Source organism: Homo sapiens, chromosome 1, assembly GCF_000001405.40.
Source record: "Homo sapiens chromosome 1, GRCh38.p14 Primary Assembly".
Lineage (NCBI taxonomy): Eukaryota > Metazoa > Chordata > Mammalia > Primates > Hominidae > Homo > Homo sapiens.
This window is the reverse complement of record NC_000001.11, coordinates 114,672,620-114,696,596: the sequence shown is the minus strand read 5'-3', so window position 1 is coordinate 114,696,596 and position 23,977 is coordinate 114,672,620. Positions and strand designations below refer to the sequence as shown.

The following is a 23,977-nucleotide window of genomic DNA, read 5'->3' as shown; positions in this document are numbered from 1 at the left end:
TCTACTAAAAATACAAAAAATATTAGCCGGGCATGGTGGCAGGCGCCTGTAGTCCCAGCTACTCGGGAGGCTCAGGCAAGAGAATGGCGTGAACCCGGGAGGCAGAGCTTGCAGTGAGCCGAGATCGCGCCACTGCACTCCAGCCCGGGCAACAGAGCGAGACTCTGTCTCGAAAAAAATATATGTATATACACATATATATACATATATACATATATATACACACACATATATACAGTCATAACTAAGACTGTGTGTTATTATGGAAAGAGCGTGAGATTTGGGTCCAGAGAGCCTTGGCTTTGCCATTTATGATGAACAGAATGACTTTGAGCAAGATACCTGTCAGAGCCCCAGTTTTCTTATTTGGGAAACAGGGATAAGGTATTACTTGCCTTACAGGATTGTAATTAGTATCAAATAGATAATGTTTGCCAAATGTTTTACATACAATAAAATGTTATACAAAACAAAGCTATTGTTCTTATTATAACAATAGGTAGAGAAGTGGTAACTGGATACTCTGGAGGACAGTTGAGTTTCTGTAAAAGACTTGAAGTAAATTTAACACTTAATTCATTAAACTGTCAACTGAAGTTCTGCTAAGTCAGACACATTACTAATAAAAACATGCATTCCTGAGCGTGTGTGCGTGTGCGTGTGTGTCTGTTGAGAGCTTGATGAATGTACCAGCATATTCACCAACCACAGAAAGCTGTTTGCGTGATGTGAAACCCTGAGGATCATAGCTTCAGAAACCGGAAAGACTTCACTGTATTTCACTAGGGTGGGATATCACCATCAGTGGTCCTACACTTGCCAAAGATCCAGTCTGTAAGAAGATTTAGAGAGTATTGAAATGCAATTTTTGGCCCACCACAGATATCTTCTAATCCCAAAGTAAAGACTGAAAGCTTCACCTGTTTTTCACTATCAAATGCCTCAAGCTATAAATAGGTCCAAAGCTCATCTCTCTCCACTTAGCAGAGAAGAATCAAATTTCCGGGGGCAAAGCAAAATAATAAAATGAATGTCAGGATATTTTATAGTGTCAGTCAGTCACCCCACAGTCTCCTCTCTCTTCTTTTCTACTGTGCTATCCTAGAATCAAGGATTTCAGCAACAATGCCTCTGTTCAAACTCCCAGGTAGGTGTACAAAGTGTTTGGAGAGCTCAGTTGTTGTTGTTTTTTTTTTTTTTTGACAAGCAACTGTTCCTTTAGCTACCATATCAGCTTTGATCATTCATTTAGGGTTCGTGATAGCTTTAACATACATTTCAGGAAAACACAAAATATTTTCAAGGGTTTTTTGTTTGTTTTTAGTTTTGGGATGTGGGTAAGTTTCTAAAACTGTTATCATGTATATTGCATCTTTGATGATCCCAGTAGAAAACTCTGTGAAATATTTAATATCTATTCTGCTAGTCTAAACAAAACCTGTGCTGCCATAGCTCTGAGACGGCTTCTACATAATGACTCTAGCTATGGTATTGGCTGAAAATCATGAACATGACAAAAATAACCCATGTGTGTATTCTGATGGTTCACGAGAATAGCTTTCTGTTGTCCAGGTTTGTACGCAGAGTAATTTTTAAAATAATAATGTTATAATTTTTAAATGATAAAAGCAATACATGTTTCATGTGAAATAGAAATTGTGCTGAAAAAATAAAAGTAATAAACATTCGTTTTGAAAGTTGGGAAATTCAGTAAAAGTAATAATTTTATTTTTTACTTATTTATTTATTTTTTGAGACAGGGTGTCACTCTGTTGCCCAGGCTGGAGTGCAGTGGCACGATCACGATTCACTGCAGCCCCAATCTTCTGGGATCTGGTGATCCTCCCACCTCAGCCTCCCGAGTAGCTGGGACTACAGGCACTTGCCACCACGCCCAGCTAGTTTTTGTATTTTCTGTAGAGACAGGGTTTCGCTATGTTGCCCAGGCTCATCTTAAACTCCTGAGCTCAAGCAATCTGCCTGCCTCAGCCTCCCAAAGTGCTGGGATTACAAGTGTTAGCCACTGCACCCAGCCAAAAGTAATAATTTTAAAAATCTGCACATCCATTATCCAAAGATATTCACTCTTAACATTTTAGTGTTTTTTTTTCTTTTCAATCTATTTTCTGTGTAAAATTAAAGAGTTTTTTTTAAAAAGGCACTGTTATTATATTGCACATGTAATTTTATATCCTGCTTTTGGCAGGATAATGTTTTGGCTTAACTTTACAACTTATCCTTTTACCATGGTATCCCAAACCTTTCCTAAAAACCATTTTAAAAGACTGCATATTCTATTTTCTTAATTAATCCCTTAGGTTCTTTATGGTTTGGGGGTTTTTTTTTGTTTGTTCGTTTTTGTTTTTGTTTTTGTTTTTTTAGAGACAGAGTCTCGCTCTGTCACCCAGGCTGGAGTGCAGTGGTGCGATCTTGGCTCACTGCAAGCTCCACCTCCCGGGTTCATGCCATTCTGCCTCAGTCTCCCGAGTAGTTGGGACTACAGGCGCCTGCCACCACGCCCGGCTAATTTTTATATTTTTAGTAGAGACGGTGTTTCACATATAACACAGTGAATATCTGTATTAGCCAGGATGGTCTCGATCTCCTGACCTCATGATCTGCCAGCCTCGGCCTCCCATAGTACCAGGATTATAGGCGTGAGCCACTGCACCCGGCCTCTTTATGGTTTTTTTAAGTATAAGTATGTTCTGATAACAATATTGACACCTAAAGCTTTTTCCATGTTTAAGGATGATTTCCGTAGGATAGCTTCTCAGAAATGGTTGTTTGGTAGGTGTTACTAAATTGTTTACCAAATGAGCTGTTTTAAGTTTACTACTACCAACATCATATGAGCATTCCCATCTTTCTTCATCAGATATTTTTAAAAATCATATTTTATAGAGAGTGCCTTTTAAAAAGTATACTTATAAATGTTAAGAGACATATTAGAAAAGAAAAGAAAATGAAGAGCTGTATAATGACCATATTCCCAAGCTTTCTGATGGCAGAAAACTGTAGACAAGCTGGAAGGCTGAGCTGAAATAACAGCAATCTACATGTGTCTACCCCAAAGCAGTGATTAATAGCCACCATGATTACAGAAAGTTGTTCACATATTTTATCTTGTTTTATTTTACTTCATACAGCTGAAGAGAAACGTGAGTATTGCATTACTTTTGCTGCCATTTGTCAGAGTATCAATTTAAAAAAATGATACTATTCCTTAATTCAGAAACATGGCTATTTTTCAGCAGTGTTTATTAAATAATAGCCTTGAAAGTCAACAAAGATTCATAATGACCATAGATATCCCATAGCATAGCAAATAAGCTCATGGCTTTTCTGGATTCTAGTGTGTGTATAAACATATATATATATATAATTATATATAATTTTTTAAAAGAAAACCTCATGCAGTGCTTTTACTTATTTATTTATTTATTTATTTATTTATTTATTTATTTATTTATTTATTTTGAGATGGATGGTCACCCAGGATGGAGTGCAGAGGTGTGAGCTCTGCTCATCGCAACCTTTGCCTCCCGGATTCAACTAATTATCTTGCCTCAGCCTCCCGAGTAGCTGAGATGACAGGTGCACACCACCACACCTGGTTAATTTTTAGTAGAGACAGGGTTTCACCATGTTGGCCAGGCTGGTCTCGAACTCCTGACCTCAAGTGATCTGCCCGCTTCAGCCTCACAAAGTGCTGGGATTACAGGTGTGGGCCACCACACCCAGCCTGTTTAATATTTTGAAATAAATGACATAGATTAGCCAAAGGGGCCTATTGAATCTTGCCTTAGTAAAGCAACTCCAGCGCAAAAAAAAAAAAAAAAATTGTTGTTCATTTTTGTGACCAGATAAAATAAAAACCTATTTTATTTATTTGTTTGTTTATTTATTTATTTTTTGAGATGGAGTCTTGCTGTGTTGCCCAGGCTGGAGTGCAGTGGTGCGATAGCTCACTGCAACCTCTGCCTCCTGGGTTCAAGTGATTCTCCTGCCTCAGCCTCCTGAGTAGCTGAGTTTACAGGTGCCCACCACCCATCTGACTAATTTTTGTATTTTTAGTAGAGACGAGGTTTCACCATTGGCCAGGTTGGTCTCGAACTCCTGACCTCAAGTGATCCACCCACCTCAGCCTCCCAAAGTGCTATGATTACAGGCGTGAGCCACCGTGCCCAGCCTTAAAAACCTATTTGAGATAAAACTATAACTTTGGTTGTATATTCCCCTCAATCTCAAATTAGACTTGTCCTTTTGCTGACTGATAGTAGGTCTGCCTCTGAATTCCTTTGGGAGATGAAATGTGGCAGACGAAGGCCTACAACCTTGTCTTTCCTACACATTAATAAAGCACTGCTGAGAAACAAGCATGTTTTTCTGGACCTGTTAAGAAGAAAGCATGATATTCATCTTCTCAAGAGTCTTGCACTTCCTGTGTTAATAATAGTAATCTCCAACTTCTGGACAGTACTGCATAGTTTTAAAGTATTTTTTGTTAAATCTTCATAACAATTCTCTGAAGTTGACGTTATTATTATTAACATTCCCCTTTATGATGATGAACACTGTGGCTCCCAGTTATTATGTGGTTTGCCCAAGGCCATCCAGCTGTTAATACACACATTTTCTTTTTTTAATTTTAATTTTTATTTTTATTTTTGAGACGGAGTCTTGCTCTGTCGCCCAGGCTGGAGTGCAGTAGCATAATCTCGGCTCATTGCAAGCTCCACCTCCCGAGTTCAAGCAATTCTCCTGCCTCAGCCTCTGGAGTAGCTGGGATTACAGGCACGTGCCACCACACCCAGCTAATTTGGTATTTTTAGTAGAGACGTGGTTTCACCATGTTGGCCAGGCTGGTCTCAAACTTCTGACCTCAGGTGATCCGCCCACCTCAGCCTCCCAAAGTTCTGGGATTAGAGGCATGAGAAATCGCACCCAGCCTATCTACTTATCTTTTGAAATATAAGTTTCACTCTTTCCTTTCTATAATCACCACCATTCCCTGAAATTTGTTTTGTTTGTTTGTTTGTACTCTGTCGCCCATGCTGGAGTGCAATGGTGCAAACGTGGCTTACTGCAGCCTCAACCTTCTGGGCTCAAACGATCCTCCCACCTCAGTCTCCTGAGTAGCTGGGACTACATGCGTATGCCACCATGCTTGGCTAATTTTTGAAAAAAAAAAAAATTTTGTGGAGGTGAGGTTCTCACTATGTTGCCCAGGCTCCAAAGTCTTGAACTCCTGGCCTCAAGCAATCCTCCCACCTCAGCCTCTCAAAGTGCTGGGATTACAGGTGTGAGTCACCATGCCAGGCCCACTCCCCGAGGTATTTTTGAAAGGCAGAACTCTTGAATTAAGAGTCAAATTTCAGCTGTGGTTACATGAAGTCAAAACAAGTGGTTGCTTCAGTGGAAGGAAATATCAACCATATAATTTCTGGTCATCATGTAAGCTGCTTCTTAAGAGTAGAGTTTCTAATTTTCAACTGTCTACAGTGGCTTAGAGAGATACAATCTTAGTAAAAACAATACTGTTTTAAAATAGGAAACAAATAGAAATGTGCAGTCCCAGACAATGAATGCTTGTTCTGGAAGAGCCAGATACCAAGCAAGTAGGATTTGGTTTCTGGGCATCCATTTCCATACTGTCCTTCCTGAGGCCTCCAGCATTATTGCTGCAGACCCAGCATGACTGACCAGTTTCATCATCATCCTCATTCTCATCTTTATAACCAACTGTCCTGTTTCCATTTGCCCTTCATGGTACATGCAGCCTCTTCCAACTTCTGCTTGCCACTCTCCCTTGAGATGCATGTGCTTGCTCGTGATGCTTAGGAAGTAGTGACATTATTTCTGGGGATCAGTTGGCAGTAGGGTGTGGAGGCATTATCAGGCCATCGAATGCATTTACTTGGTGTTCCATTTGTTCCTTCATGGATCATGATGTTTGCCAAAGAACTACTTATAGCATCCAAAGATGCTTTTCGGTTTCAGTTGTTTGAGTTTAACAAGGCAAATAGATGCATGAAGTTTGGCCAACATAGTGGGCTTCTCTGTTAACTTTGCTGTAACAAACCAGGTTTTAAAAACTGGCTGACCTGACTGTTATTGTTGGGGAAGTTATGAATCAATTCCTGTCATCTCCAATGTACATTTCATCATGTACTAAGTCATATCATGTATTATCTCATTCATAGTCCAAAGCTAACCCCACACACCAAATGTCTGTTTGACCAATGCTACACATTACATCATTCAATTTAATCTGGTGCTTTATTTGTCTTAAGGCATTTCCACATACATTATCTCACTTAGTGTCACAACAGCCTTGCCAGCGAGGTTGGGTAGGTATTAGTATTCCCACTTTACAGATTAAGAAATGGAAATAGAGGAAGATGTAGGAGGTGTTAAGTGCAGAGCAGGGAGCTTGAACACATGACATCTACTTAATTTAGAATAGAAAATATGGACTTTTGCAGGTCTGTATAGACATTAATAGCTGGGGGCATCTTTCTCTCTACATACAGTTTGCTCTGTCATCCTGTGGGGAATGTTTCTGTCTTCTACTGTTGCTCCAAATAGCTAGCTATTTGCCATTGTCATTATTGCTACCAGCTCTTTTCTGGAAATACCAGGAAAAGTATTAGAGGTAATAATTATTCAGACAGAAAACACTGAGGATCTGGAGAACACAGTGGAACTTAACAGAAAGGCAGATACTTGATGGCCATCACCATCCTATATGATGACACTGGTTTTCTTTTCTTTTTTGAGATAGAGTTTTGCTCTGTCACCCAGGCTGGAGGGCAGTGGTGCAGTCTCAACTCACTGCAACCTCTGCCTCCCGGGTTCAAATGATTCTCTTGCCTCAGCCTCCTGAGTAGCTGGGATTACAGGCATGCACTACCATGCACAACTAATTTTCATATTTTTAGTAGAGACAGGGTTTCGCCATGTTGGCCAGGCTGGTCTCGAACTCCTGCCATCAAGGGATCCACTCTCCTCACCCTCCCAAAGCGCTGGGATCACAGGGATGAGCCAGTGTGCCCAGAGACACTGGTTTTCTTATATCCTGAGGGTCTTGGGGTTATTCATTGCCAAACTAAGAAGCATCATTTCCCCCCATTTTAAGAATGGGAAAATTAGGGTATGTACAAGTAAAATTGGCCTTCCAAGGTTCATTCATTATTGAGGCCTATGTCCACAAGAAATGGGACTTCCAGCACTTGGTAGTAAATGTTAGTGGTCCCCTCCCTGCATACAGCAGCATATCACCAAGTTGTCTGGATTTGAAAAAACAAGGTTTGATGTGTGAGAGAAACACAGTATCTGTCTTAAGTAGAAGAAAGGCCCTACAGTACACATTTATTTCTCAGAACTACTTAGATCACCGGAATCACTGGTTCTCCTTAGCAAGAAAAACTCCAAGGACCAATAACCCTATCCACATATTTAACACCATCAGAAAAACTCCACCAACCTAATGGGAAGAACTGTGCTGCATGGTTCAAACTATGAAATCAAACTTAGCCTTGCCAGAAACAGGTGATCTTACTGAGGTGCTAGTCCTACAACAGCCCGGTCTCATCTTTAGGACCATCTTTAGGACTGTTCTGAAATGTGCTATGAGAATCTGACCCATGTTTCTGAGAGCATATTTTCAAGGTACCCACACAGAAACCCACTAAAAGGAGAGCAGGCACTGAGCTCTGTGTTGGACCCTGGTTGGAAAGCAGGAGAGCCATGCACGCAGCACAGTCCTTGTCCCATGCCTTACACATAGCAGAAACTCTCAGCTGACTTTTGAAAAGGGGCTTGAACACTAATATGTGAAAACCTCTTTTAGAAATTGATGATGCAATGCGCAACTTTGCTGAAAAAGTGTTTGCCTCTGAAGTCAAAGATGAAGGAGGTCGTCAGGAGATTTCCCCCTTTGATGTGGATGAGATCTGTCCGATTTCTCATCATGAGATGCAAGCACACATATTCCATCTGGAGACTCTGTCCACCTCCACAGAAGCCAGGAGGTAAGTGGTGTAAGGGGAGTGCTTAGTATATTGGCACCTAAGGAGGGGTATCTGCCAGGGAAGATATGGTTCAATTTATCCAAATGATGGTTCAACTCAGAGGAAGAACTCTGCCAGAGTTAGCAATTCCTAAGACTGGGCACAGTGGCTCACAAATGTAATCCCAGCACTCTGGGAGGCCGAGGTGGGTGGATCACTTGAGGACAGGAATTTGAGACCAGCCTGGTCAACACGGTGAAACCCTGTCTCTACTAAAAATACAAAAATTAGCCAGGCACTGTGGTGCATGCCTGTAGTCCCAGCTACCTGGGAGGTTGAGGCAGGAGAATCGCTTGAACCTGGGAGGTGGAGGTTGCAGTAAGCCAAGATCACCCCACTGCACTCCAGCCTGCGTGACAGAGCGAGAGTCTGTCTCAAAAAAAAAAATTCCTTTTCCCCCCAACACTGTATATGCTAGAGTGAGTAGAGTGAGGGGCCAATGATGAAAAAAGAAGAAAGCAGTGGGCCTCCTATCTCGTCCATATCTCCCTTGATTGAAGCCTCCCTACCCATCTAAGCAAGAGGACTTCGAGATACCATAGAATTATTTCAGACCAAAGTGGGCAAATGGCTGCTGTGAACATATTCAATTTACACACAATGGTAATATAAACTGGGACTCAAGAGCCTTCATCTTCAGACTCTGTCCCTAGCCAACCTTAGTGTTATGCTCCCTGACATGAATCCTGCCCTCCAGTTAGTCTGACCACCTCCTGGCCTTAGGAATACTGCTCTCCAATTCTGCCCTCATGACCTGCCCATCCCATGTCTATGATGCATACTTGCTGCCTCCCCCGAGCAGTCTTTGAAAATCCCTCTCCACCAAGTCTATTTTCCTTTATTTGAACCACTCTAGGATTCACTACCAGCCACACTTTAGTCCCCAAACCTCAAACCTATACTAACTACTTTGCTGGAACCCCCTCCTTAGGTCCTCCCCCCATCCCACCAGCTTCATGGGGAAAAGACTATTCTGCTGTCTTTCTCTTGATTTTACATCTTTAAGGAAAGAACAGCAATCCATCTCCTTTGGTGTCCCCCATAGGACTTAACACAGGACTTGGGTCAAAGCAATAAACTTGGGTCAAACTCAACAAATACTTGTTGATTTGAGAAAATAATATTAAATACCTTATAAGTTCCAGGTACTGTGCTAGGCATTTTATATACATTAAATCTCATAGAAATCCTATAAGGTAGTCATTTTTGCACCATTTGTTTTAGATGGGTAGATGGGAGCTCCTTTATCCATGTTTAAGGAACATGAATAAAATGATACAGGTAGTAACTGACATAGCCTGTGTTTTCTGTAGTTCCTAGACTGCCTATTCTGCTGGGAGTGGACTGCCTGGGAAGAAGGGTGTCATGGTGAAGGTCTTCTAGTAGGATTGCTAAGGCCATTCCAAGGTAGACCAGGGAGAGGGGCACAAGGTCATGTGTCTTCAGTGATTTCTCCTCCCACTATGCTTGGATCCTGTTTCTGATACCCAACCACATTTTAATTTTTACTTTTTGTCCTCAGAATAAAATTGTATAGAGAAACATCTATCTATCACAATGAAACGCCTGATGAAGACAAAATTAACTCTTACTTTTAAATTTCGAACCCAGAAAAAAGCGTTTCCAAGGACGGAAGACTGTTAATTTGTCCATTCCACTAAGTGAAACATCTTCCACCAAACTGTCCCACATTGATGAATACATTTCCTCATCTCCAACCTACCAGACCGTGCCTGATTTTCAGAGAGTGCAGATTACTGGTGACTATGCCTCTGGGGTGAGTTGGTCCTTGCCACTCAGACTTAGCAACCAGGAAGCCATTCAGCTTGACAGTTCTAGCTCCTTGCCTTCTTCTCTTTCCTGTTGAGGGAGGTATTAGCTCACCTGTCCTTTGTTACACTTCATTATTGCATTTCAATACTAATATGGTGGTATGTCTTATGTTTCTGTTGTTTTTATCATCCCACATAATTTATCCTCTATCTCATTTGCTTGCACATGGAGAATATGGAGTAGAATGCAGTGTGTATGTTACAGAATACAATGGACAGATTTTGGCAAAAAGGACCAAAGAGAGCAGTAGAGTGGTCAAGTCTCACTGATGTTGTCATAAATCAGAAAAGGGAGCCTCTGGGGAGGCACGGAGTCTCTGGGGAAAAGAAGGACCCAAGCAGACCTAGGATAGTGAGAAGGGTTGCAGATAGCATAAACCAACCAAAGAAAACAGATCCAGAGAAAGAGAGAGGGAAGAGAAAAAAGAAGGAACCAGAGAAAAGAAGGAAGATGAGAGAGAGGTTAGAAAATCCTAACGAGGCTATTGTTTTTTTGACGACCTGAACTCTCCAATTTCATTACAGATGGTTACACAGTAGATCATTACTTGGAACAGACTCTAGGATGCCACAGGGATAGTAAAGTCATGTCACAAACAACTTGACCTGCTTGTCTCATCCAGAACAGTTGGTCAATTAATAAATCTCTGCCACATGGACTTGCAGAATCAGCATCATATTGGTGAAACTGCTGTGCAGCCGTCCGTCGATGCTCCAAATATAGTTTTAATGACCAGTGCTGGGTCCCCTTCTCATGTAACTGACCCACTTAGGGTCAGTCCTAAGATACTTAAAAGTGACAAGGCAATTAAATGCACCTCATTCTTGTTTATTCATTTTCTGTATAACATGGGTGCTCTCTAAATGGCAGGGGGTTTAGACACTAAATAACTAAAAGGAAATGCCTAATAGAGATGAGTACAGGGGAAACACAGTTTGGAGAACTCCAGAATTCAAAATAACATAAACATTTGGAGATAAACTTCATACCTGCATGCTTGATAGAAATGAAAACAAGAATAAAAACAAAGAAGTTAGGAGGACGAACAAAATGTACACAAGTCAAGGAGTACTTCTCCTCCTGTGAAAGCTGGAGGGCACCTGAAACCTTGACCTGGAGACTGGGAAAAACGAAGTATGTTTCTCTACCAGTTGGCTGAATGTGGCTGGGCTGCTGAGCAACACTCTACGCTCTACCTGGTTGTAGTCTGTACCCAAATTAGTCTTCACCCTAGTAATTTAAACAGAGAGGCAAAGAGGAAATCAGGGCTCAGTTCTCAAGATTATTAATTCCTGGTAAACACTCGATTCAGTTTAATCAGTCTTATTGAGCATCTATTCTGTGCTAGGCATTGTGTGCTGAGAACATGAAGGTGAATAAGACCCAGCTCTCATTCTTGAGGACCTGATAGACTAGTGGCCTATTAGGTGGCAATGAGCTACGCATGCCATTGGAAGCAGGGAAGCAGACCCCCAGACCTAGCATCTGTGCCAGACGCTTTTGGCCAAGGACAGCAGGTCTTTAAAATAGTTAAACTAATTCAGGATCAATATCTGGACCTTAAACTACTGGGGACAAGCATATGGTAGTCCCACAGGAAAAGTCTTTGGGTTCTGATAATGAACATTCAGTGATTTCAAGTTATAACTACTTGGGCATGCCTGGCCCAACCAGGAGTTGGGAATGGGGGCAGGGGAAATTTCCAGCAGCTCTAATAAAGCTTTCCTCTAGAATCTCTCAAGTTTTACCCAGAAATAAAATTCTCTTTAAAATCATCTAAACGACTAACTTCTCACAGAATGATGTTGTGATCCATCGTAGCTGAAGAAAGCCGTGCATGGGTTTGAGAGATTTGTGACCCCTTATTCATCCCAAAATATTTCCCTCACTGACCGAGTGGTTTGAATTCTCACAATTTGAGTCACATGGTCTTTCAGTTGAGGTATTGTCTTGTACTTAAAATGTTCACACGTACTTAGAAGGAAGAAAGTATATACCATGTTGGAATGGATTCTTTTAATCCTATTTGCTAGATAATCCCTGCTATGTAACAAAAACCAGAAACAAACAAATACAGGACTACAAGGGAAAGACTAGTAGGACAGGTAAGTTTGGTAGAAATAAAGAAGCTAGAAAAGCTTCAGGACCTGCTCTGGGAGGGAGATCCAGGTCCCAAGTCAATTAAGAAGCAGCCAGGTGAGTGGTGAGTCTCAGAATGGGCTGCGATACACAGGAGAGCTGGGAGGTGCCAAGGATAAGCTTTACTCACTTCTCAGTTTTTCGTGGGATTGACTCTGATATGCTGACTTTTTTTTTTTTGGCAGGTTACAGTTGAAGATTTTGAAATTGTTTGCAAAGGTCTGTATCGGGCACTATGCATACGTGAGAAATACATGCAGAAGTCGTTTCAGAGGTTCCCTAAAACCCCTTCCAAATACTTGCGGAACATTGATGGTGAGGCTTGGGTAGCAAATGAGAGCTTCTATCCAGGTAACAATTCTCTTACATAATGTATGAAACATATTTTATTTAAACTACTAAATATTAAATTTAAAATATGCCTCTAGATTATAAGTAATCCAGTCTAAAAATATCATAGTCATAATCATCTTTGGCCCCATTTCCTCACGTGTCCAATCACTTGATTCAGTCTGCACAACATCTCTCTGAACTTTTTCTCTTCACCATTCCCTAAACCCTCATTCAGGCTTATCCTTCTCCTTGCCCAGATTATTGCAAGAGCTTCGTAACTACTCTGCAAAATTTCAGTCTCCCTCTCTTTTGGTTCATCTTTACTTTGGTGCTAATTTTTAAAACACAGATCTGAGCACATCCTTCTCCTGACAAGAACCTTTAGCTGCTCCTTGCTACCTACAAAGCAAAGTCCAGTCTTTAGCCTGGCATTTGAGGCCCACACCCTCTGGCCCCCTAACTACATTTTGTTTGTTTTCTGAGACAGGCTCTCATTCTGTTGCCCAGGCTGGAGTGCAGCGGCACCCTCTCGGCTCACTGCAACATCTGCCTCCTGGGTTCAAGCGATTCTCCTGCCTCAGCCTCCCGGGTAGCTGGGATTGCTGGTGTGTGTCACCATGCCTGTCTAATTTTTGTATTTTTTTGTAGAGATGGGGTTTTCCCGTGTTGGCCAGGCTGGTCTTGAACTCCTGGCCTCAAGCGATCTGCCTGCCTCAACTTCCCAAAGTTCTGGGGTTACAGGCATGAGGCACCACACCCGGCCTGTTTATTTTTGAACTTGCACACTCAACCTATTTCTGAACTTACTTTCTCTGCTCCATTTTTATACTGTTGGTTCTGGTTGGAAATATTTCTCGTTCCCTACATAGTTCAACACCTTCCTGCTCCTGGATTGCTGCTCTGCTTCCCTGTGCTCAGGCTGTCCTTCCCCTCACTTATTCACCACATGCCCAAGTCTCCAGAGCCAACCCAATCTTTCAAGAGGCAGCCCAAATACTATCATTTCTTGCCTTCTGGATAGATGTAAACTACATGTTCTGACTTTCCATAGCACTTTATTTACTTATCTCAGTTTTTACCTTCTGCCTTGTAGAAAGTTAAGTACGTATTTTTCAACAATCAGATTTTAATAATTTTACAGATTTCTATTATATAACTGGAACATAATTGACTTAATTCCTATTTTTAGGCAATTAAATTTCTGACTTTTTAAAACTTGTTTCTAAAAAAGGTACAATAAGCATCTTTATATACACATCTTCCTGTAATTGTCTTACAATTTTAGGATTACACTCCTAGAACTAAAATTTCTGGGGAGGCAAATATTTAAGATTTTTGAGGCCAGGCGCGGTGGCTCACGCCTATAATCCCAGCACTTTGGGAGGCCAAGGCGGGCGGATCACGAGGTCAGGAGATCGAGACCATCTTGGCTAACACGGTGAAACCCCGTCTCTACTAAAAATACAAAAAATTAGCCAGGCGTGGTGGCGGGCGCCTGTAGTCCCAGCTACTCCGGAGGCTGAGGCAGGAGAATGGCGTGAACCCGGGAGGCGGAGCTTGCAGTGAGCTGAGATCGCGCCACTGCACTCCAGCCTGGGCGACAGAGGGAGACTCCGTCTCAAAAAAAAAAAAAAAGATTTTTGAAGTTCCAAATTGTAATATTATTAAAGATCTCCAGTTCTACAACTCCCTGTCTGTAATTCCTTTTAATATTAAAATCATATTAAACATGTCTCCAGTTTGGTAACACATAACAGTGGTTTTCCCATCCTCTATAATATAGACATTTAGTTTGTCTTGTCTTTATTTCTCCTAAGTTACGCTTCAATAATAATTATATCATTAATAGTGAGTTATTAATCCTTAAGTATAAGGATTTCAAAATTAATATTTGATAGTAGTAACAAATATTGTAGTAACACGCTGTTTCACTTCTCTTATGTTCCTTATCTCCCAATTTTGAATAGGAAATGTGCAGACTGTTTTTTTTCCCTATGCTATTTTTCTCACTTTGGCTGCTGTGGGCATCACTTGTAAACAGGAGGCTTTCTGATGCCTTCCTCGGGCACAGCAGTGAAGAGGCATAAATGACCATACTTGTTGAAAGTCAAAAGGATGAATTCTTAAAGGCTCTGACGGTGCGAAATGTGTTCATGGCTTCCTTAGGCTGAAATCGCTAGCAGTGGAAAGAAGGGAACACATCCACTTAATCTCTTCTCAGTTCCTTTAGCAGAAATTGTATGTGCTTTAAAAGGTGGGAAAAATAATTCTCATAAGAATTATCACTCTTACAATAATAATTTATTTTATATCTCTTTTTTACATTAAAACCACTTTAGGTGGAGCACAGAGGATTCTTAGGGGAGTGAAACTATTCTGTATGATACTATAAGGGTGGATACATGTCATTATACATTTGCCAAAACCCATAGGCTTTGAGTGAACCCTAATGTGCACTATGGACTTTGGGTGATTACAAGGTGTTAATGTATATTCATCTATTATAACAAATGGACCCTCTGATGCAGGATGTCTAGAGTGGAGACTGGCTGTGCCTGTGTGGGTAACGGGCTGTGGGGAAATTGCATTTTCTTTTTCTTTTTCTCTTTTTTTTTTTTTTTTTGAGATGGAGTCTCACTCTGTCACCCAGGCTGGAGTGCAGTGGCACAAACTCACTCACTGCAACCTCCATCTCCTAGGTTCAAGAGACTCTCCTACCTCAGCCTCCTGAGTAGCTGGGACTACAGGCGCACACCACCACACTCAACTAATTTTCGTATTTTTAGTGGAGATGAGGTTTCACCATGTTAGTCAGGCTGATTTTGAACTTCTGACCTCAAATGACCCACCCACCTTGGCCTCCCAAAATGCTGGGATTACAGGCGTGAGTCACTGTGCCCAGCCTGGAAACGGCATTTTCTACTCAATTATTTTACTGGGAACCCAAGACTGATCTTTAAAAGCTTATTTCAAAAAACACTCTAAATTACGCCTAATAAAAAGGATTGGCTTAAATAAGGTAAAGATCTAAACTCTATTTTTTTAACTGTAGTTTGACTTTTATTCTTATGTTATTATCTAAGAGCTAATAATATGCTCTAAACAGAAAGCCTTTGATGACAAACTTCAGTAAATAATGAAGATTGTTTGTAAGTAGTATATCGATTACTTTATGTAAATAGTTCTTCCAAAGAACTTGAAAAATCATTCTTACACTAGACAACATATTATTTTATTTTTCTTTTTTTTGAGACAGGGTCTCCCTCTGTCGCCTAGGCTGGAGTGCAGTGGTGCTATCTCAGCTCACTGCAACGTATGCCTCCCGGATTCAAATGATTCTCTCGCCTCAGCCTCCTGAGTAGCTGAGGTAACAGGCACACGCCGCCACAGCCTGGCTAATTTGTGTATTTGTAGTAGAGACGGGGTTTCACCATATTGGTCAGGCTGGTCTCAAACTCCTGACCTCAGGTGATCTGCCTGCCTTGGCCTCCCAAAGTGCTGGGATTACAGGCACGAGCCACTGCGCCTGGCCAATATATTATTTTTATAGCTATTTTATACTATTATGTCACCTTTAAAAAATAATGCAAAAATAAAGGTTAGCTTAATTCCAGATAATTACAACTTAAGTACCGGATTCCAAGCTAATGAGATGTTGTAGTATTTCACATTTTGGTTATTTTTATGTGGTCGTTCATCCTATGTGCTAATATATTACTCTGTGTTTGATTGAAAAAGTCTTTACTCCTCCTGTGAAGAAGGGAGAGGACCCCTTCCGAACAGACAACCTTCCTGAAAACCTGGGCTATCACCTCAAAATGAAGGACGGTGTAGTTTACGTCTATCCTAATGAAGCAGCAGTCAGCAAAGATGAGCCTAAGCCACTTCCTTACCCAAATCTGGACACCTTCTTAGACGATATGAATTTTTTACTTGCTTTAATTGCTCAAGGACCTGTGTAAGTGTTTAGTGAGACCTAAACAACAACAACTAGTACTACAAGACCTAAACAACAACTAGTACTACTTCTACTGATAGTGAGACTAAGTATTTACTAAATGCTTACTATGTTCAAACACTGTATTAAGCCCTTCATGCACATTGTTCCTTTTATTGCTTACACTTTTCACTGTGAGGTGGTTATTTTCATAATTCCAGTTTTATGAGCTGAGACTTTGATGACTTAAGTAACTTGCCTAAAGTGACACAGCTGGCTGAGCCAGGATTCACACTCGAATCTGCTGACCCCAAACTTTGAATAACACTCTCTCCATTGAGTTTTAAGATACCTTTCCAAGTTCTCCCTCATTCTTATGTCCAACATTATTGAAAAGATTAAGCCTTTGGAGCCCACTACTTCTCAGTGGGATTAACTGCAGAGTAAACTAAAAGGTTTGTTCCAACAATTATTTCCTATGAATGATAAAGGTCCTGATAGTTTTGAAATTGTGACTGTTTTTCTTGAATGCCTGAAACTTTTTGGAATTATGTGATTTTATTTTTCACAGTAAGACCTATACCCACCGGCGCCTGAAGTTCCTCTCCTCCAAGTTCCAGGTCCATCAGATGCTTAACGAGATGGACGAGTTAAAGGAGCTGAAAAACAACCCCCACCGAGATTTTTATAACTGCAGGAAGGTAAACATTTTAGTTGCTCAGGGGTAATTCCTGGGCAAAAACAATTCAATTATTTATTGAGAAGCACAAGAAAAGAGTGTGTTTCTGATTAATCTAAGATTTCTACAGGTTCAGTGGATTTTAGTAAAAACAGATAATAGATTATGTCCAATGGGTTAGGGTTAAGTGCCATTTCTATCGTTTTCCCCATAGAAAGGTTTGCCACATTTTTGGCACAAAAAATTATAGTTATCCTCAACAACGAAAATAGCAACAACAACAAAACATCAAAAATGACCATTCTAGAATTTGAAAGATCTTCCTTCTAGTCCTTTTTCTTTGAATTCCTGACTGTAAGACCTTGGAGGAAGGGATGACATATTTTCATTTCAGTGTCTTCATTTGTCAAATTGGGAACTACACCTGCACAATCCAGTTCACGTGAGGATTGTGAATATCAAATGAGCTAGCCTAGAGATTGTGAAATCCAATAAACTAGACACACTTCCAAGATGTATTCTGACCATTAAAATGATTACAAGGAAGTGGGAATAGGAAATATATGAGCAGAGATTCAGGCCCAAATCCTGGCTCAGCTGCCTATACAACTTTGGACTAATTACTTAATCTGCTGAAATTTCAGTGTATAAAATTTAGTTATAAGAATATCTACCTCATAAAAGCCATCACTGTGTCATGGCTTCATAATTTCAATCCTTTCTCCTTAGGGGCTGAAAGTTATGGTAGTTACTTCACTTCCAGCTGTGTTTTAGGAGTGAAGAATGGTCCAGAAGAATGTGTGGATCAGACGTAGGAAATAAATTGGATGTACAGATATACAGAAGAAGCAAGCATTCTTATTGCCTCTAGCCTAACCTTTCACATCCTTGCATGGGCACGCCACAGTTGTAATGGATTTTTTATTGCTGGACCACCTCCACCAACTGTCAGCTCACATCCTCATTATTCACTTTGTCCCAACGCAGTGGGATTTGCAGCACCATATCCTCTAAACAGAGTAGCATAACTAAGGCTGATTGATGTTTTTTTCTTTCTTTGAATATACATACAGGTGGACACCCATATCCATGCAGCCGCTTGCATGAACCAGAAACATCTGCTGCGTTTTATTAAGAAATCTTACCAAATTGATGCTGACAGAGTGGTCTATAGCACCAAAGAGAAGAATCTGACCCTAAAGGAACTTTTTGCTAAATTAAAAATGCATCCTTATGACCTGACTGTTGATTCTCTGGATGTTCATGCTGTAGGTTGAAACGGCAATGTCAGTTTCACTCTAATACTCAGAACCCCACATGTCTTTCTCCTACAAGCCCTCCCTTCTCAGAGGTCTCTTAACCATCTTGGCTTACCACGCTGCCTGAAAGCACCACAGACAATTTTGAAGTTTGCTCATTGTCACCTGTCCCAAATTCCATTCTTGGAGCCCAATGCCCTCCCCCACTACCAGACCCCAGTTCTGCTTGACTATTTCCTAGCTCTCTCTGTCCAGACAGCTCTGGTAATAATACATCTCTGCTCTTTTTTCCTGATTCAGGGACGCCAGACCTTCCAGCGTTTTGATAAGTTCAATGACAAATATAATCCTGTAGGAGCAAGTGAGCTACGGGACCTCTACTTGAAGACAGACAATTACATTAATGGGGAATATTTTGCCACTATCATCAAGGTGAGGCGGAACCAATCACATCTATGGTATCTGGCATGGTTCTTGAGGAAAGGGAAGAAGGAAGGAAGGAAGGAAGGAAGGAAGGAAGGAAGGAAGGAAGGAAGGAAGGAGGGAGAGAGGGAAAGAAGGAAGGAAGGGAGGGAGGGAGGGAGCGATCCCTGGGGCCAAACACTACACAAATGAATATAAGGATTTCCTCTGACACATCCACTCTAATGATTTTTGAAGACCTCTATTGCTAAGGTAGAGAAATTAAGGGTGTGGTTTTGAGATTGATTAAGGACCTAGCCTTTTCAGATTCTGAAAGGAAGAGTTAGAAAGGGAATCTCCTCTCCCTAGAACCCCAGAGGAACTTGTGGGAATCCCTGGCTTGGACTTCTCTCTTGGCTTTGCAGGAGGTAGGTGCGGACCTGGTGGAGGCCAAGTACCAGCATGCTGAGCCCCGCCTGTCCATCTATGGCCGCAGTCCTGATGAGTGGAGCAAACTCTCCTCCTGGTTCGTCTGCAATCGCATCCACTGCCCCAACATGACATGGATGATCCAGGTTCCCAGGATCTAGTATGTACCTGCCCATCAGAAACTCTAGAGCCTGCCCTTGTCTCATCTGCTTCAAGTCCCCTGTATGAACAAGGAACGTGTTGCCCATCTAGAAATAAATCAGCTTTGTTAAAACAGCATTCACTATCGGGTCCTGCATGCTTGGTTTTGTCCACTCTGGGTACAGCACTCTTAACCACAGACAGGAGTTAAGAAGATCATTTCGGATCAGTCCTCTAGCTTTATGAAGATCATAAATAACTCACTGAGAATGATTAAAACTAAGATAGAATAAGAACTATGTACAGTTTGGTATACATTTTCTTTCACCTGGTCTTCTCTGTGTCAAGTCCATTCCTTCCCATGCTCATCTCTACTGGGATGTGGCTTTCTTGTATCAGAACCTTTACTACTGTCTGTCAATTGTCCCACCTACAAGTGCTCAAGTTCTCCACAATCAATGAGTATTTATCAATGGTATTGCTGAGGACATCATCTCCCTTTCATACCACCTGCTATCATTCATCGCCTTCAGGGATGGCTTCTCTTTCAGTTTGTTCAGTATCATTGATCTTTTATCTAACTTGGGTGTTTATATGTTTTCTGGCTACCTGTCTTTGTGTTCTGTGTGACCTACTGCAATGCAAGAGTTTCATCCTGTCTCTTTAACCAAAAAAAGTAATTTTTTGACTGGGATAATACTTCCTAATAGGCAGAGAGGCAGTAGGTTGGTTAGGAGTATAGATTCTGGACCCAGAGTGGTGATACTTGAATCCTGGCAATACTTAAATCAAGGTAACACAACCATTTAGCTGTGTTACCTTGGGTTAAGTTATATCACCCCATTGTGCCTTAGTTTCATCATCTCTAAAACAAGGTTAAAAACAATACCTAACTTATTGAGTTGTTATGAGGATTACATTAGCTAATATTTCTGGTCACTTAGAAGAGTGCTTGGAATATATTAAATGCTATATCAGAGTTTGTTAAATTGCAGATCAGAGGTATTCTTGGTAATCATTTCCTGTTCACTGTCTTGTAGTTACACACATATATTGAAGCTTTTATGACGTAATTGCATATTCCTCTATGAGGACTTAGCTGTGAAGGTTTAGTTTTCTTATGACAAAGGTTTGTAAAAAAGATGGGGACATAGGGTCCACCAAAAAATTTTTATTTCCTATGTGCTGCCCAAACTGAATCCCTCTCTATAGGGGACCAAAAAGAATGTATGAGGAGCATGGACCTAGGATAGATATACCACGTCTTTTCCTGTGCATGACATTCGATTCTCTGGTTCCCTCATACTGGGGCTATCAGTCCTAAAAATCTTTTTTTCTCCTAAATTCTCTTCATTCTTGCCTCTAGTGATGTGTTCCGTTCCAAGAATTTCCTTCCACATTTTGGAAAAATGCTGGAGAATATTTTCATGCCAGTGTTTGAGGCCACCATCAACCCCCAGGCTGACCCAGAACTCAGTGTCTTCCTCAAGCATGTAAGCATGACCCTTCAGGCCTTCATACTGCTGCTCATGAACCAGCCTTCCTACCTGGTCATGACTAATTCTTGGTGCTTATCTCTTTATGTTTGGTCTGTGCCTTTGGACCTGAAAGTTTGTGTGAGGACTGGGACCCTGAAGTTGGACTGAACCCATTGCATGGCTCACTTTTCCTAACAGATCACTGGCTTTGACAGTGTGGATGATGAGTCCAAACACAGTGGCCACATGTTCTCCTCCAAGAGTCCCAAGCCCCAGGAGTGGACATTGGAAAAGAATCCATCTTACACTTACTATGCCTACTACATGTATGCAAACATCATGGTGCTCAACAGCCTGAGAAAGTAAGTAGGAGACAGCTGGAGCTAGGAGGGTCTATTTGACACAGCTCTTTCCACATATATTGGCAATTAAGGTGGTCAGGGGCCTCATGCATTACTGTGATGGTTCCAATTGGCCCAAATCAGAAATTTCTTTCTCTTAACTTTTTTCTTCAGTTTATTTATTTTGGGGCAGAAATCGGTATTTCGATGCTTTCAATAACTTTCACAGTTCCTTTTTTTTTGGGAAGTTTAGGAATTTATACTAATCATTGTGCAATTAATGATAAAACTTCATATATTTTGCCCTTCTTGATATATTTGGGTAAGGAATAAGTAGAGGAATATTATACTGGAGTTTTCTGGAAACATTTCTCCCTTAAAATTTGAATAGAATAGAATAAATGATGAGATGTTGATATTGGTAAATTTCCTATTGAGACTGAACGTATTTCCATCCAGGCAATCAACACTTTATTTGCTTCCTTACCCCCATATCCTCTGCTGCCTCTTTTTGGAAACTTTGTATTTAGCAAGAATTAAGATTATGATTTGGGACTGTTTTGCTGAATCCTTTGGATGGCTTACTTCCTTCCAGAGTGTTCACTTTTCTACTGAATTTTCTTGTGAATCACTCCATACCCAGAACCTGCGATTCCAATAGCAGTTCTATTTCCCCAGGGAACGAGGCATGAATACGTTTCTGTTCCGACCTCACTGTGGAGAAGCTGGAGCCCTCACCCATCTCATGACAGCATTCATGATAGCAGATGATATCTCTCATGGCCTAAATTTAAAAAAGGTGAGTTGGAAGCTCTCTTCTTAACTTTTACATTGGAGCTAGAGGAATCTTTTTTCCCTTAACCAACCATACTGTCACAAGTCATTATCGACACTGCAATCATAATCAAGTAGAGCATAAAAGATTTTTTAGTTTAGTGCAGTTCATTCTACAGAAAGAAGTAAAGGGACTTGCTCAAGATTACCTTGCTAGTTGCTGTCAGATAAAAGTTAACGCAGATCTCCTGACTTCTAGCTTAGAATCCTGACAAGGGATAATTCAGAGATGGCCTGGCTTTCCTTAAGCTAGTTTTTGCCAGATTTCTTGTTATAGCATGCTTCAAGATGTTTTTTTGTGAGAGTCAGAACTTTCTTGTAGAGAGAGAGAGAAAAAATAATGTTTCAAGGCAAAGTCTTTTGCCTGAGACAGACCATCTAACGTAGGCCATTATAGATCAAATAAACAATCTGGTTTGACTCAATGTTTCTGAAAATTAATGTATCCTAAGTACATTTATTCTAAATAGCATTTACATTGAAAAACTCCTAAATTCTCCTTACTAAGAGACTTGAAGAACAAGTGATAATTTTGTTGAAAGCTGAAGCTTAAGGCAGACCATGAGATTGTAGTGTTTCTAGTTTGTATTCCTTTTTCAACATCTTTAAATATTTTTTTACTTTTCTTTTTCAGAGTCCCGTGCTACAGTACTTGTTTTTCTTAGCCCAAATTCCCATCGCCATGTCACCACTAAGTAACAATAGCCTATTTCTAGAGTATGCCAAAAATCCTTTTTTGGATTTCCTTCAGAAAGGGCTAATGATCTCACTGTCTACAGATGACCCAATGCAATTCCACTTTACCAAGGTATAGTATGGACTTGGGCAATACAAGCATATTTTGCTGGACTGTTGTTTCCCGTCCAGAATTTGAAAGTCAAATAAAGGTATTTCATTATTTTTTCAGGCAGGATGCATATTATTTATTAATTCACTCCTCTTTTTTCCTCATTTAATATAACTGCAGGAGCCCCTAATGGAAGAATATGCTATTGCTGCACAAGTCTTCAAGCTGAGCACCTGTGATATGTGCGAAGTGGCAAGGAACAGTGTCTTGCAGTGTGGAATTTCTCATGAGGTAGACCTGTCTTCAAATGGCTTCCCTTCTGAGTATAGGGTCTGCTAACTTGAATACCGAAAAAGTAGTTGGGAAACACATGTAGAAAAATTGTTCCACGAATCATATGCAGTTACTATGGACAGGGACTAGAAGGGATTATTCTATCTCTTTGCCTGTGCCTTTTGGGCCAGGGAAGTAAAATACACTTGATTTCTCAGCAGACTGTGAACACTGAGGCACTAGATGGGTGCTTTTAATGGTCTATTATTATTATTCTTTTGTCAGTGGCTAACATAAGGAAGGAATTTTTGTAAAGAATGCAATTATTGTCTATACCAGGGTGAAAAGAGACAACAATCATTCTGCCATCCTTTTCTCTTATAGGAGAAAGTAAAGTTTCTGGGCGACAATTACCTTGAGGAAGGCCCTGCTGGAAATGATATCCGGAGGACAAATGTAGCCCAAATCCGCATGGCCTATCGCTATGAAACCTGGTGTTATGAACTCAATTTAATTGCTGAGGGTCTTAAATCAACAGAATAAAAAAAAGTAAACCAAATAATAATATGAGTGAGAATTTCATTGTAGAGTTTGAATAATAATAGTTACCTGTTATTGAGTCCCTACTATAAACCAAGGAAAGTATTAGATGTTCCACTGAAATTATTTCATTTAATCCTTCTCACAACCTTTATAAAGTAGATATTATTATCTCCATTTTGGGGGAAATTAGTACACTAAAGCTAATAAGGTTAATAACCTGCACAAGGATATACCTGGTGAAGGGTAGCAGTGGGAACGTGGGTTTCTCTGACTGCAGTCTCTATGACTTTCAGGCAAAATATCTATTAAAGCTGGGCAAAAATACAAGCAAATGACTTTTTGGGAGATAGGCTTCTGGTTTATAGCATGAAATTTGCTTAAGGCACTTAGAACCACTAAAAAGTTCTTTGACAAGGTATAAGTGAATAGTGGCTTTTTTAGACAAAACCAGAGGGCGTACCTCAATATAGAAAATCAGTATTTATGAGTTATTA

At 40.6% G+C, this 23,977-nt stretch overlaps 1 protein-coding gene across 2 annotated transcripts; it reads left to right on the top strand.

Annotated features, from left to right (window-relative positions):
- AMPD1 (adenosine monophosphate deaminase 1) lies at positions 1,051 to 23,499 on the top strand. Of its 2 annotated transcripts, NM_000036.3 has the most exons (16): positions 1,051 to 1,147; positions 3,150 to 3,161; positions 7,856 to 8,036; positions 9,687 to 9,852; positions 12,233 to 12,398; positions 16,119 to 16,338; positions 16,889 to 17,018; positions 18,070 to 18,264; positions 18,556 to 18,687; positions 19,083 to 19,246; positions 20,594 to 20,720; positions 20,904 to 21,067; positions 21,725 to 21,845; positions 22,515 to 22,688; positions 22,848 to 22,958; positions 23,325 to 23,499. In NM_000036.3, exons 1-16 carry the CDS (start codon positions 1,126 to 1,128, stop codon positions 23,481 to 23,483), a joined length of 2,244 nt encoding a protein of 747 aa, NP_000027.3. In that variant the 5' UTR covers positions 1,051 to 1,125; the 3' UTR covers positions 23,484 to 23,499. The 2 variants fall into 2 exon arrangements, with proteins under 2 accessions (NP_000027.3, NP_001166097.2); NM_001172626.2 differs by lacking the exon at positions 3,150 to 3,161.